The sequence below is a fragment of the Homo sapiens genome, chromosome 11, assembly GCF_000001405.40.
Source record: "Homo sapiens chromosome 11, GRCh38.p14 Primary Assembly".
NCBI lineage: Eukaryota > Metazoa > Chordata > Mammalia > Primates > Hominidae > Homo > Homo sapiens.
This window is the reverse complement of record NC_000011.10, coordinates 40098163-40113434: the sequence shown is the minus strand read 5'-3', so window position 1 is coordinate 40113434 and position 15272 is coordinate 40098163. Positions and strand designations below refer to the sequence as shown.

Here is a 15272-nt window from a genome sequence, read left to right as displayed (position 1 = left end):
TGAAGTAAATTTAATTCTACTTGAAGGAAAGTTTCAGTATAATTTATTTACTGTTTCCTAAACATAATTTCATTGGCCAGATGAACTATAACTGTGAAACATGAAAGTATTCTAAATCATCTAGAGCTGAAAAAGAATATTTGGTGATGAGTGTTAGCAAATTCAGTTCAATTCAATGATAAGTATTGAAGACCTACTGTGTGCAAAATACAGATTTTAGTATTGTGGGTGCACAATTGACAAGATCTGGTTCCTGCTCTTGCATTACTCCCAATCTATATAAAAATGATTAAAGAAATTATCTCAGTTCATTACTGGTTGCCAGCTCTAATTTTACTGTTAGGTGAAAGGCTGTGAATCAGAACCTTAAATTTTTAAAATATTAGATTACTGTTATTAGAGAAAGCTCTTGGTTTTCTGATGGTTTCTTCCATCTTTCTGGAAGAGGTGATTATCTTTTTCTAAATGCAAACTACAGAGCTTTAAGAAGTGTGGGTTTAGATTTGCTCTGAAGGATGAATACATACCAGGAGAGGGCAATGCTAAATCAGTGGTAATTAATTAATGGTATTTTTTAAGGAGCTGGGGGCATTTTGGCTAAGAGACCATACACTAGCTTCCAAGTAAAAAAGGAACTTGCTGGTTATTGTACTTTGGCATTCTCCTATTATTTTAATATATTACGTATATGACTTCTATCTTTATGTGAAACAAGTGAATATATACAGATCTCATTATTGGCCTTGAAACTTGCTACCTTGGTGGTGAAACAAGGACTGACCAAGCTGAAGAAAACTTCAGCTCCTAATGGCTAAGAAGCTTGGATACTCACACTTAATTGTGCAGGCTGAACCTTACTCCATGGTTTTGTGGTCTCCAGGTGTGAAAAAATCAATTATTCCTAGCAAAGTAGGTCAGAGAAATGGGAGAAAAGGACGGGAAATGAATGAGAGCATGCAAGAGTCTTGCTTCTATTTTTTTGATCACCAATTCTCTGGCTTTTTTCTTCCTCATATCTTACCTCCCTTGGTTAGGAACACAATCCACACTTGGTTTCACTGTGGAGAAGACTCAAGAAAAGGGAAAACATATTTTGGCTACTGTTTGTCAAGTTATTCAGTATTGAATATACTTAACATATACCCAAACTGCAGATCACAAAAAACACAAACAAGCAACAATAAAAAACACCAACAAATATCTGTAAAAACAAGCAAGTGCTAGTACAAAGAAAAGTGATATAAATCGAGAGGGAAAATGATCCTGCTTTCTCTACTTGGCTTGTGTTCACCAAACTCTGTCTTTGCTGACTCTGAAGCTTCTTTCATTTTAAGCTTATAATTCTTATAGGTTTAGTCCAAGTATGCAATTACCCTTGGCTGTGAGAGGTGGCTGAGCAGTTAGACAAATGCTACTAAATAGGATGAAAGGTGAACTTGCACTTAAAAAGTTAGGTTGGAATCTAAAGCATACAATTCAGTCTTCTGGGAGGTTATAGTATAGTACTAATGAATATATTTTGGGAAATAAATTTGATGCAAGTTTTAAATAAACCAGACTTGACTTCTATAATAAATTTAGAAACTCTTTTACCAAAGGTCCTCATTGCAGGTTTTGGGGATAAAGGGTAGAGTGCTATAAATCTATTATTTAAAGAAAACTAAAATGAATTCTAGATGTTTCTGATTAACAGTAAGCCTCTATTTTCCCTGCATAACATATTTGACCCTTGGCCCATCAGAACCGTAGCTGCACTGATGTATTAGAGACCATTACACACGTGAATTTACTTGGTTTAGCAGGAAGCCTATATGACTGTTTAAATATTTGCTATATTGTTGTACCAAAATACAATTCTGTGTCTACTGCTCATTGTAGTCTATCCAAAGGCAACTGGGCAGCAGTATTCTGAAATACGTACACCAAAAATACACCACGTACAATTCATCAAGTTAACATAACCCAATGATAATCTGTGTGTGTGTGTGTGTGTGCATGTGTGTGTTTGTATTTCCTGCTAATAGTATGCAGTTTGCTTCCCTAAACATCAAAGATGCTTCAGAAAGAATATTCTCTAACATCTTTTTCTATCTTTTCTATTCAGGAATTTTACTCTTCCATATCTGGCCATGACCTTAGTCTCGAACACTCTTTTGAAAGTGTACAGATGTCTATGCAAAACAATAGAAGGATATGGTGTAGCTCACACACATAGGCTCTGATATAGCTTTAATAATTTCCCCTCATATTTCAAATATTCTGAAATCATGTATCATCTTTTTCAAAGACTGAAATAGGTTATTTGCATATGGAAGAGTGATAAATTTTTTTTTGATAAAGAAAATGTGGCTAGTTCATAATTGCTTTTAGGCCTTATAATCAAAAAATTAAAAATTAGGATATTGTTTGAGACCCGTTTACTATGAAATAAAATTCTAAATATAGATGTGCTGGGGGTAAAAAATCTTGACAATGTAAGGGCTATTTACATGGCAGAAAGAAAAGGAAGAAGGTATATCAAGAATAGCCTGCACTGAAACATGAAAACATATTAAGTAGAGGGCCCCAGAGTATCCAACGTTTTTAAGGTAAAGATTGATCAAGGTGAAAAAAACAAAACAAAACTCAGTCTCTTATCTTTTTGGGATAATCTTCAAGATATTTAGATAAAGTAGAAGAGTTAGATGAGTGCTTACAAATACAATGTGGCACTCTAAAGCAATATAATTTTAAAATATTGTGTTCAACTACTTATTTGTTGTTTCAGCTTGTTTTAATAATAATCTTGAAAATAATGATAGCATTAACTATCACAGACATAGCATGTGAATGCTGGGTAAGCAGTCATACTCTGCTAAGAAGCTGTCTGTTTCTCTTAAATATAGTAGCACAGAATCAAATATCTTATAAAACTTATCCTGAAATTACATATGCATCATTATATTTGATTAGAATGTATTCTGTACAACAGCTACTTCTGATAAAAATGAATCTAAAAAGTTACCTTCCAAAAATCAAGGTCCCTGCGATTCTTTCTCTTCTTTTGCAAGAAGAAATGTGAATTCCTAAAAGCTCTGTATATATTAGATAGGAAGCAGCTGGGACACCACTGTCTTCTCATGCTCCATCGGGATACAGAACAAGATACATCTGGCTGTATGAGAGAAAAAAGAAATCTTCTAGAATTAATGTAGCACACTGTCAATTAGGATCCAAATTTAGATACTGAATGAAGCCTTCTCAAAACACATACCAGTTCACATCCTTCTGTTTCTTAAACTGCTGCCAACAGAACTTCCGAAATTTCAACCTTGAGAAAACTATATAAATTGTATGTAAAATTATATAATTAAATTTTATAATATGTTTAGCAGGAAAATGTAAAACTGCTGTTCATTTTTTGTTTTGCCCAGGATTAAGAAAAAAGAAAAATAGAGAGGAACTTGCTGCAAGGCAGACAATAAATGAAGCTATTTTAATGAAAGCACATAATATTGGAAAACTCTTTGTTTTGTAAATTTTGTTCTATGCAGAAAATGAGCACATCTATCTGTCCCTTGCACCAAAAACAGAAAGGAAGGCCTATGAAAATCAGACCATGAAGTCTTATTTTTCATTCTTTGGTCTAGTAATTTAATTTCATTTTCCAGATTATTAATGCTGCAGTTTATTATATATTTGATGCTGAATTGCTGAATTTGACTTGTCCAAATGACATCAATCCTGCCTTTATCTCATTGCCAGAAGTAGTGAATATATTGCTTTTTATCCTGGTGAAAGGGAAGATTCAAAGTTGTTTGAAGGAGAGGGGCTGATCTGTGTGGTGGCAGTAGAACATATTCTGATTGATGTCCTCTAACCTTGCAAACTTGCCAGAGCATCCACCTAGTTCAACCCTAGTTCAGTTATCATGGTGGAAACCCATTATGGGCACTCTTAGCAACTATTGTGCCTATATATTAATAAGTCTACTGAATAACAATTAGTTCATCCCCTTACTTCTTCAGCCCTTACTTCCACATTGAAAGAAGTAAAAAGTAGAACTCACCAATTGCTATTTAAGCACATTTGCTAGTTTTGTAAAGTCTATAGACTTCTAAGAGGAATATATGAAACCTCAAGTAAATATATTAAAACATGCACAAAATAAATATATTTATGATATATACTTTTTATTGTAACTATCAAATTTTAATCAAAAAATTTGTAATGCTAGGGAAATCTCAGGTTTTACTAATGGAATTATGAAAAAATATTAATCTTAATACAATTTGTAAAATGCCTTAAAAGTTAGATGTTGAAATGGACTTCCAGGTCCTGTAGCTACTTCTATTGAAATTATCATCATAATGTTTTACAAAATGAGAAAAGTAATACAGTTTCTCTTTCCAGTTGCCCTGAAGCAGACTAACTGATGCTTGTAAAGATGTTTCTCAGCATAAATGGATTGTTAGAGAATGAACTTCAGTTAATTTTGACCTTAAAAAAAAGTCACGTAGATATGTATTTTCATCTGAAACATTTTCAAGAGTCTTGCAAACAAGTCACTCTAAAATAATTTATGACAATGTTTATGTGCTCAATTACATTTTGGTTTTTCAATACATATTCTTACCTTAAGTGAAAGTAGATTGTATCCCTGGTTTTCATTTTTCAGCACATTTTCAAGTTTTCTAAGAGAAGTACAAAATCATAATCTGTCACTACATAACATGTCACTACATGTTCAACATTTGTAAAACTCAATTTATTATAAATCCTGAGTTATTAGTAACTGTTATTTGAAAGCCATTTTAGTAATCATAGAAAGCACTAATATTAAGGAGTAAAAAATCAACAATTAATATCAGAAATAAACCATGAGCTCTTAGAAACTAGTGGGATACCATTAGGCATTCATAAGATATAATAATTCAAAAGTAAAAATTATATGCTTTGTAGCTCAAAAGTGCTTTCACCTATTTTCTCATTTGTGTAGCCTTGAAATAGTGGTAGATGAGTATTTCAAATTCAAGCATCAGATATTTCATAAATACTGCATATGCCTGTGTGTGGAATTATTGATGTTTTGAACCTATAAACAGGATAGAAAGGAAGAGATGGTCAGGAAACAATACTGGAGAAGAAAAAGAGGTAAATGGTAAAAGCAGAAAAAATGATTAGATTATGTTTATTTTAGAATAGATTCATTTAGTGAATATGAATTGAGGAACCTACTTAATGCCAGGCACTATTTGCAGCTCTGGATGTACAGCAATGAACAAAACTTTTAAGTCATGCCCACAAGATAAAGTGACCAACTCATCTCAGTTTGCACAGATGTTCCTGGTTTTAGTACTGAAAGCCCTGCATTCCAGAAACCCCTTAGTCGAGGGCAAATCAAGACGGTTGCTCACCATTATCAGAACCTCACTTTCTGGTAACTGTCATCTTGATTTCCAAATTCATATTAATATTTTTATCTCATTGTTAATGACAATGCAAGTTAGCACTGACCACAAGTAACCAATGGCTAGTATACCTGTTTCTAACTGGGGCAAAGTTATGACAAGAGCAAATTATAGTAATATCAAACTTCCTAGAATTATTTCTAGACAACACTCCTTGGAGTGCAACTGAAGTATCAAAAGTACAACTTGCCCTCAAGGAAGAGTTAGTGTCTGGGAATGTGAACGAACAATCATAACCACCATTTGCAAGACACCTACGTATATCATCTCTAGTTCTTACAAAGCCCTCTAAGGTAGTATCATCATCTCCGTTGCAAGGATAAAGACTTTGAGAGTAAACTCTCCCATACACAATAATGAGAAAGAAAACCCAAGGTAAAAGAAGAGAATTGGAGCTTTCAGATGGCTATAGCAAGTCTTGTATAAGCAATAGCATTTATTTTTCAGAACAGAAAACTATTAATGCTCTCAGTGTATTTTACTTCTTGTGTTCTATTGGATTATATTTTCCTGGAAACTGGCTTCTCTTTGGGGTCACATTTTGGTAATCAATGTTAGTCTTATTCTTGTTCAGTCAAGTTTACTAATGAAATGGATAGGACAGTACCTTTGAAGCACTGACTTGGTTAATGTGGCAATGTTTGAACTATTTTTATATTGACTATTATTGAATTTCGTAGAGGAACTTCAAATTGAAGACGTTATGGATCAGCCAGCATTCAAAGATGAAAATAAATCAATCAACACTTTTTTATCACAATTATACAGTTTTAGATATTTTATTTTAGGGTCGCATTATGATTCACTTTTATATTCTAATCAAATGTCATTGATGGATATCCCTGAATACCACAGTAGCTAAACCAGCATATTCTAGTCCCTTTCCATAAGAAAATAAAATTCTCTTTACTAACTTCAATAGTTCTTTAACATCTCATTATGTACATTGTTTTTATGAAGTCAGTAAAATCATCCAATTCATCCTTCTTAGAATACAACGCACTATTTAAAGTTGTCTAAACTTTTTAAGAGGTAACCATTAGGCTGCAACCATTTTTCACTTGCCAAGTAGCTAAAAAAATAGAAAAAACATAAGACATGCCCCTAAAAGCAGGACACTTAACTTCTGAAAGTTGGAGACTCAACTGAAATGAACAATACTAAATTTAAAAAATCTGATTATCCCAACTGAGTGCTCCTGACAAATTTAAGCCCCTATGCTTCATTATTTGTTAGTTATTTTTTGTATTTAGTAAAAGCATTACCTTTGGTAAATAATGAATGCAACCAAAGTAAAAATATTGCCATAATAATAAATGGAGACATGAGATAATTAACTGGTTAATATGGATTCGCATTGCAAAACGGTAGAAAATCTTTCCACATAAAGAAATGCGTGACAGACTTGAGAATGGAACACTAGTTGTAGAACTTTTAATACAAAATGAGTGATTAGTTTTAAATCCTTGACCCAATTCAGTGTCACTTCATTTGTAAGTACATTCATTCATTTATTCGTGGAACATTTATTGAGTGTTTTTGCTACGCCAACAATAAAGTTATTATTAATACAAAAATAAGTGACACAGCTCTTGCCTTCGAAGAGTTAACAATATTGCAAATACAATATGATGAATTGAATGGAAGAGGTAGCACATATTATATAATCAGGGAGAAGGGAAACAGATCTGGGCTGTGTAGTTGGAAGAGGGAGAATCAGATTTGCTTTTTATATGAATAAAAGCAAACTAGATTGAGCCCTACTGGATGAATAGGAGTTAGCCAGGTGGTAGAAGGTGATATGTCAGTTTTCCCAGAACAAATACAGCAAAGTCAAGGAACAAGCAACATCATGATGATAGAAGACTGCAAGTGGCTTGGTGTTTCTATAATAGAACTAAACATTCAATTTGGAGATTGCTAAAGACAAAACGAAGACAATGATTTAAAGCTTTGTATATGGCATGTTGACCCTATTAAATTTAACTTACGGATGATGATGAAGTATTAACATTTTCTAAATGGTTGTGTGGCATTGATATTAGATTTGAGCTTTGAATGGGTTACTAGCATGGCAGAAGAAAAAAAATTTAAGGTTAAAAAGACTAGGACAAAGAGAAATCCATATTGGAGATTGTTTTACTATCCTAACAGAGAGATAATTGGTGGAAGTTAAGGTCCAATTAAAAAACAATAAACCGAGTTAGCCAGACTTGTTTTCTCATTGTATGATGAGAGAAGAGAAGGAAACAAGGCTTCTTACATTTGTTGACTAGTGGAAATAATGGAAGATCAGCAGGTAAGGGGTGATTAGAAGATAATGTTTATAGTTAGTTGTAAAAAAATTGTTCCAGGTGAAGATTGGGAAAGGAAGTGTTGCAGGACTTTTCCGTAGTTCATCTAAAAACAGAGTTCTTGTCCATCCCACGCCCTGAAAATGCAGGCTTGCAGATGGTTTAAAGGGTGAGTAAAGCAGGGTTTTATTGGGTGAAAAGAAAAGAACAGCCACAGTGCGGGGACAGGCAGTGGAAACAGGGACTCTTACAAGGCCAGAGTCCCTCCGCTAGGGCACTTCCTGCCAGGTAGTTGGAATCCTAGTTTCCACAGAGGAAGCAGAGGGGCCAGGTTCAGGCTCCTCCCTGCTGCAAACGTCATGAACTTCCCAGGGCTCCATCTCAGTGGGCAGGCTGGTTGGAGTTTCTTCAGGGACCCCCCTCCCACATGGCTGTCTCATTCCCTCCTTTAAAGAAGTACACCTAACTGCCATTAGATTATGGATAAGGACAAAGACCGATCTTAACTGCTTCCTGCTGACAGGGCTGCTGTTTGGGGAAACAGCAGTCCCCAGAGGCCTATTTAAGGGTTCCCAGCAAAAGGGGCCATTGTCAGAGGCTCTGGTTGCATGAGAGTTTGGAGTTTGATGGCCTGAGGCAAGAACAGACAAACCGGGTTATTAGAAAACATGTATCTAAACAAAACAAGGGGAGGAGTAAAGACAGCTCAAAAATTCTGAGGTCTTTTACCAGTTTACACAGGGAGATGGAGGCCAATAGCCTGACTGGTAAAAAAAAAAACAAAAAAAAACAAAAAAAAACTTTATCCCTTTGCTAGCATGTTGGGCTTCTGGGTTCCCATCTCCTGAGCTCAATCTTAAGCCAATCAGTTTAAGGTTTAGGAAATTAACTCTTTCCAGTTTGGAGGATGCATCTGAGGGGACTGTCTCATAGTATGGAGACATAATTACCTATTAGTGAATAGAGGACCCAGGAGGAGAAAGGAATAAAAAGAAAGCATTTTTTCAAAGGAGTCCCAAGGCTTCAGAATGCATTCTAAAGGGATACAGACTGAAGATGAATGACTACCCATCTGGAAAGAGGGGAGCAGGTATCCCTGGTTCCCTTCAGTTCTTAGGAGATACCGGGGTATGCAAGGGAGACAAGGAAGAGTGTCCTCTTTCCCTTCTTCTGTCCTTGCATCCCTGAGTTCCAGCGACCTTGGCAGGTGCTGCCATGAGTGTTAAAGCGGCTTGCACCCATGAAGCAGGGGGGTCTAGAGAACAGGAATTATCTGCTCTCACTTAGGTCTCTTTTCCACCTACTGTCAGTAGCCTTGGAGTTCCCTAGACCTCATTTATGCCATGGATATTAACGTGGTCTTTATCCATGAAACAGGAAGCTTGGGGTTGGCTTAATCGGTGGGAATCAGCCATACTCACCTACACTGTGCCTTTTAACCTATGTTGTCATTTGCTTCTGGATGCCTCAGATCGTTTTCCTTCCTGGGGCTTTAACCTGAAGCTTGGAATTGAGTTTGGGACAAAAATGTGTCTCAAGAGGGGTTGCATGAACTCCTTATCATAAGCTGAATGGTAAGATGAAACTGTGGAACTGTGTCCTCCTCCAACAAGGGAGAGGAAAGGATGTCTTGTGACACACCCAGATAACTGGCTGTTATAGTTATGCTTGCTAGAATTTGGGTGCATAGTGCTTTGTTTTGGTTACTCCCTTGGTCTTACTTTACCAAAAAGAAACTGCTGAGTAATAGGTATCCTATTTATTCCCATCACCTGGAAAGATTTGCAGGATAATTGCTCAGAACTAGAATACTGGTCCATATTTCTACATTACCCATCCCTTTTGTTCTTTCTGAGCTACAGCTGGAGATTGCTGGTTGGTTCACAGGAACAATCAGGGTTAGTCTAAAATGTAGGCAAAAAAACTTTAAAACAACAAGTTTAGAATTTAATGACAAATATATAAGTTTTGAAGCATGATTTATTTCTCTCCAGACCTCATGTTTGTTAGAAAACAAATTATGATAGGACTGAGTGGTTTTCAAAATAGACTTCCGTCTTATACTGGGCCTGATTATTTGCATAAAGTACAGCAAGAGCAATTATTTCTACATAGGCCTTTTGGATTGGCTTTGATAGAAGTCTGTTCCACAAGGAATCTCAGATAAGACCGTTTAAAGCGGAGCCCAGCCATGGGCTTGCATTCTCAAATACCTGTGAGTTGGGTGATCCTCTCCCCTTAAGGTCCCAAGATAAACTTGGAGCCCTGGACCTGTTAGAAAGTTATACTGTTTATTGACCAGAGGTGAGGAACCCTGCATAGGGACTGTGTAGGCAAGGATATGAGGCCAGTTTCCCCATTGGGTTTTTATTGGCTCTGCAAGTGGAGATTGACTCCTTAAATCAAAGCATACCCTTCCAGTCAAAGCCTTGGTAAAATAACCATTTTCTCCAATTGTGTTCTGTCACAAAGAAAAGTGGATTCTTATTGCACTGATGCAAATATTGCCATAAATTAAGAATACTCACAGAAAGTTTCCAAATTCTAGAGGAACCAGGCAGAGAGAAACAAACATGCTCCAAATTTTGTCCACAGGAGTATGCCTTACTTAATTATTAAAGGCCTTAAGTAGTTCAAAATAAGTTTTCTTGACTATGAAAAACAAAACAAGGATCAGCAACATTCCAAGCAAAAGTCAAAAAGATTTGCTCAGCTTCCTGAGTTCAGTCAAGTTAGTTAAATCTTGTTTTGCTTGATATTCGTGAACACTTCAGCTCTTTATGAGTCCTGTACATTTTCCTTTATTCCAATGTCACAATCTCCAAAGTTATCAGAAACCTGATTTCTCAAACATGATCAGAAATTGTATCTGAGAGCACTTGTCAGGGTCTTTTTTTTTTTTTTTTTTTTTGAGACAAAGTCTCATTCTGTTGCCCAGGCTGGTGTGCAGTGGTGTGATCTCGGCTCACTGCAACCTCCGCCTCCTGGGTTCAAGTGGTTCTCCTGCCTCAGTCTCCTGAGTAGCTGCATGCCACCACGTCTGGCTAATTTTTGTATTTTTTGTAGAGATGGGATTTTACCAAGTTGGTCAGGCTGGTCTTGAACGCCTGACCTTGTGATCCACCCACCTCGGCCTCCCAAAGTGCTGGGATTACAGGTGGGAGCCACTGCGCCTAGCCTAAGATATCAATGCTGCCAGCACCTTGGCCTTGAACTTTTAGCCTCCAGCTCTACGGGCAAATAATTTGTTGTTTAAGCCACACAGTCTGTGGTCAGAGTCTTATAGCCTATTATAAACCATTTTTTGAAAAGGATTAAAACCAAACAACAATTGTCTGTGAATAGCAAAATGTCCAGGGTAGTTACAGTTAGAAATAGGATTGACAAATAAGTTTGGTTATCTCCGTGGTTTACAATAATTTAACATAACAACCTTAATTATGATTGATGGCATATACTTAGACATTAGAATTTTAGAAATACTACACAGTTTGGGAACATATGTTATCATTATTCCCCAAGATATAACCTAAAGAAGATTGAGCATTATTTTGGCAAGACCATGTACCTAAACACGTCAAATAATCCTGTCTCCCTCTCTTCTCTGGACATTTCAGGGGCCCCCTGAAGTATTCGAAAAGCCACGTGTCAGGAAAGACTTTTTTTTTTTTTTTTTTTTGAGACAGAGTCTCGCTCTGTCTCCCAGGCTGGAGTGCAGTAGCGTGATCTCGGCTTACTGCAAGCTTTGCCTCCCGGGTTCACGCCATTCTCCTGCCTCAGCCTCCCGAGCTGCTGGGACTACAGGTGCCCGCCACCATGCCTGGCTAATTTTTTGCATTTTGAGTAGAGACGGGGTTTCACCGTGTTAGCCAGGATGGTCTCATCTCCTGACCTCGTGATCTGCCCGCCTTGGCCTCCCAAAGTGCTGGGGTTACAGGCGTGAGCCACCACGCACAGCCAGGAGAGACAATTTTGAAGCTGAAGTTTGACTTTGGAAAGGCTGTTAAATGTTATAGGTTTAAAACACTTGATATTATGAAATAGAATTCCAGATTACCGTAAGTTATTTTTCCAAAATGACTCAGAAATTTTAAAGAAGCAAAAACCTTTTATAACCCTTTGCAAATTTTGCTAAAAAGTGGATTAGCACCTTAGGAAAACCTTATTATGCTTTTATTTCAATGCTCAATTTACAGAAAAACTATAAATACCTTTTACTGAATTTAGTCAATATGCTTACACAGCCTCTTCTGGAAGATTCATTTCCACCATTCTTCCACCACTTCTTTGAACCTTCAGCTTTTTCCTATTTTAACTTAAAACAATCCTTTTAGTTTACATTTCCATGCCTCCTTATAACCTTTTACTAAAAAACACATTTTACTGTTTTTACACACCTTGCATGTAAATCTATCTCTAGGAGTTTTCAGTGAACTCCTAGCAATTTTAACTTTAAGGTAAAACTTGGTAAGTTGCTTTGTGTGCTAATTGCAGCCAAGGTTTGCCTTCTTAGTTAAGTGTGGTTAGTTCCATCTGTCCCCAGGCCTTACTAATTACGAAGCCGCCAAGTCAAATAGTTCTCAAAACCCAAAAAGCAGTTTGTAACCTGAAAATACTTAGCAAACTTTGCATGTGATCTGCATTTTACTAATAGTTTTTAGGGCTGTTTTTATTTCTGAAAGATTAAAGTCACAGGAACTGAAAGTTACCACAGATTTTATCATCCCTTTAAAAAATATTAGATCCAAGTGCTTATCTTTCTTTAGGCCAAATTAATTAGAGCTCTTTTGACAGACATTACACACAGTACACACATAGGCAGAAAAAAACCCAGTCGCTGGGTGGGGCGCTTTAAGAGACAGGGCTGGGGACCAGGCGCAGTAGCTCATGCCTGTTAATCCCAGCTCTTTGGGAGGCCAAGGCTGGCATATCACCTAAGGTTAGGAGTTCAAGACCAGCCCGGCCAACATGGTGAAACCCTGTCTCTATTAAAAATATGAAAATTATCTGAGCATGGTGGCAGGCGCCTGTAATCCCAGCTACTTGGGAGGCTGAGGCAGGAGAATTGCTTGAACCCGGGAGGTGGAGGTGGCAGTGAGCGGAGATTGCACCACTGCACTCCAGCCTTGGCAACAGAGTGAAACTCCATCTCAAAAAAAAAAAAAAAAAAAAAAAAGGAAAGAAAAAAGAAACAGGGCTAGGAAAACAAACATGCAGACATCTAAGCTGGGAGGGCTCATCCCCTCAGGCTGTATTGCTGAACTAAGCCTTGCCAAGCAGTTACCAGCCATGCCCTCAGGACGTAAAACAAGATGGAAGCTTGATTTCACCACGAAAACTTTGCAGCGAATACAGTGATAGTTGGGGGGTTGGAGGGTGGGCGCTAGCCTAGTAAAACATCTTCTAAAAGAAAAAAAAAGCTTTAAAAGTTAACTTGCTGACAGGGTAGCGAAGGGGAAAGAAAAGAAACAGTTTGAAAATGCAACCTCTTATTCATATGCAAGTGGTTCCTCCACCAGGGAGACAAGTTTAAGCTTAATTACTGTCTGATAGAGTTAAACCCCTTGGACAGGGAAGGGGAAGGCTGGGGCAGCCCACAGTGGCTGGGAACCAGCCAGCCAGCTGTGCAGGACCCCTGGGCCATGGGTCCCCACCCCAGCAGGGAGCGGGGAGCGGAAGGAGCTGCTGCTTACCGGTGGGCCCCAAAAAAGGAAGGAAAAGGCCATGAAAAGGCCAGGGAGCTACGCGGGGTGGAGGCGTGGCTTCCCCCACACTCAGAAGTCTGAAGATTAAAAGGCTGAGAAGCAACAGTGAGAAGCTTTGAGTCCCCATTTCACTCAGGGCTTCTGGAGCCTCCACTTTGCTGCAACAATGTTGCACGACTTTTCCTTAGTTCATCTAAAGATGGGGTTCTTGTCCATCTCATGGCCATGAAAATTCAGGCTCGCAGACCAGTTTAAAGGATGAGTAAAGAAGAGTTTTACTGGGTGAAAAGGATAAAAAAAAAAAAAAAAAAGAGGGAAACAGGTACTCTCTCAAGGCCAGAGTCCCTCCCCTAGACCACTTCCGGCCAGAGGGTTAGAATCCCACGTTCCACATAGGAAGAGGAGGTGCCAGGCTCAGGCTCCTCCCTGCTGCAAACGTCATGACCTTCCCTAGGTTCGACCTCAGTGGGCAAGCTGGTTGGAGTTTCTCCACGGACCCTCTCCCACAGGCTGTCTCAGAAGGTAAAGCCAAATTTTAATTATATGGAGTTTGGATACCTATGGGAAATTCTACTAGAGTTGTCCAATAGGAAGCTTTCCTGGGCTGGTAATATTCATCTCACAGTCATCAATATAAAATTTGTAGTGAAAACTAATAGAGTGGGTGAAATCACCTACTATGCAATACAGCTATTTCAGTGGGAAAAGAAAGAACTGTGAGAAATAACATTTCATAAGTGTGAAGAGGAAGAGAAAAACATTAATTAAACAGCCACTAAAGAAATATTTGTTGTTTTTACTGTAGGTAAGGTCCTATGCTAGGCCCTGAGGTTATCTCTTTAAATATGAATCCCAGGCCAGAAAGAGAAAACAAGTGATACAGATAATTAATTGCAGCTGTGTTAACTGCTCTAAGGTAAAATTGCAGGGTAAGTGATACTGCAAAGAAAGGGAATTTCATCTAGTCTGGGAAGCTTCTTTTAAAGTAGTGGAATTAGAGAAATTAGTGGTGATTGATGTTAATTAGAAGAAGATATAGGACAAGTGAAGTTGCAGTCTAAGGAACTTAGACTTTATAGGCAATAAGGTAGTCATGGAGAAGAAAAATAGATGTGAACCAAAATTCATATCAAAATGATTAATTTATGAGAATTCAATGAGAAATCAGTGAAGTTATAAATCTCTAGCTGGGATTGAAGAAAGAAGAAGATGCCTTAAATTTAAAAAAAAAAAATATATATATATATAGCAACTTTGTATTTTCTGACCTATATCACACAAGCAGCCCACAATTAGTATGCAATAAAGAGAATTTTCTGAAGAATCACGGACTCATGATATCTACATTCGGACTGGTTTATTGTGACTTGAAAAAATAGAAAACAAGTGCCTTTGATAAGTTTCCTAAATAGCTAACTAATCATTTTACGAGGTTCTTTCATCCCTTAATATAAAGTACAAATTGCGTTTAATGGAAGAACAATGAAACATGAAATTCAAAATAATTACAAAGTCCACTATGAGAATGAAGTTAGGTTATCATCTACGGAATAACTTATTAAATGATGTTACAATATCTCAGAGAAAAAGAGTACAGTTGCAGTTTTCCAATGCAGTCAGATAAGAAATATAATGAATAGAAGGAATGCAGGCTTTTATATTTGTGATTAGACCACAGAAGAGAAATTCAAGGAAAGTAGTGGATGCTGCAGTACGAATAAATAAAACCTCTGGAGACCAGATTACAGGCAACCATCTTGTTGTGAACACCAAGGCACACACAAGAAGTGAAGTAATACACCTCTGCCATCTCAGGGGCCTGT

The 15272-nt window shown here is 37.4% G+C and overlaps 4 annotated features.

The window, feature by feature from the left end:
- Positions 12889-13388: an enhancer, noted in NCBI's record as "NANOG-H3K4me1 hESC enhancer chr11:40121597-40122096 (GRCh37/hg19 assembly coordinates)". NCBI's record gives its function as "activates a minimal SCP1, AML or CMV promoter by ChIP-STARR-seq in primed H9 embryonic stem cells {active_cell/tissue: H9 hESC(primed)}" and the evidence as "EXISTENCE:reporter gene assay evidence [ECO:0000049][PMID:30033119]".
- Positions 13389-13890: an enhancer, noted in NCBI's record as "NANOG-H3K4me1 hESC enhancer chr11:40121095-40121596 (GRCh37/hg19 assembly coordinates)". NCBI's record gives its function as "activates a minimal SCP1, AML or CMV promoter by ChIP-STARR-seq in naive H9 embryonic stem cells {active_cell/tissue: H9 hESC(naive)}" and the evidence as "EXISTENCE:reporter gene assay evidence [ECO:0000049][PMID:30033119]".
- Positions 13389-13929: a biological region, named in NCBI's record as "NANOG-H3K4me1 hESC enhancer GRCh37_chr11:40121095-40121596".
- Positions 13729-13929: a silencer, noted in NCBI's record as "peak1262 fragment used in MPRA reporter construct". NCBI's record gives its function as "represses an SCP1 promoter by STARR-seq MPRAs in K562 erythroleukemia cells {active_cell/tissue: K562}" and the evidence as "EXISTENCE:reporter gene assay evidence [ECO:0000049][PMID:32103011]".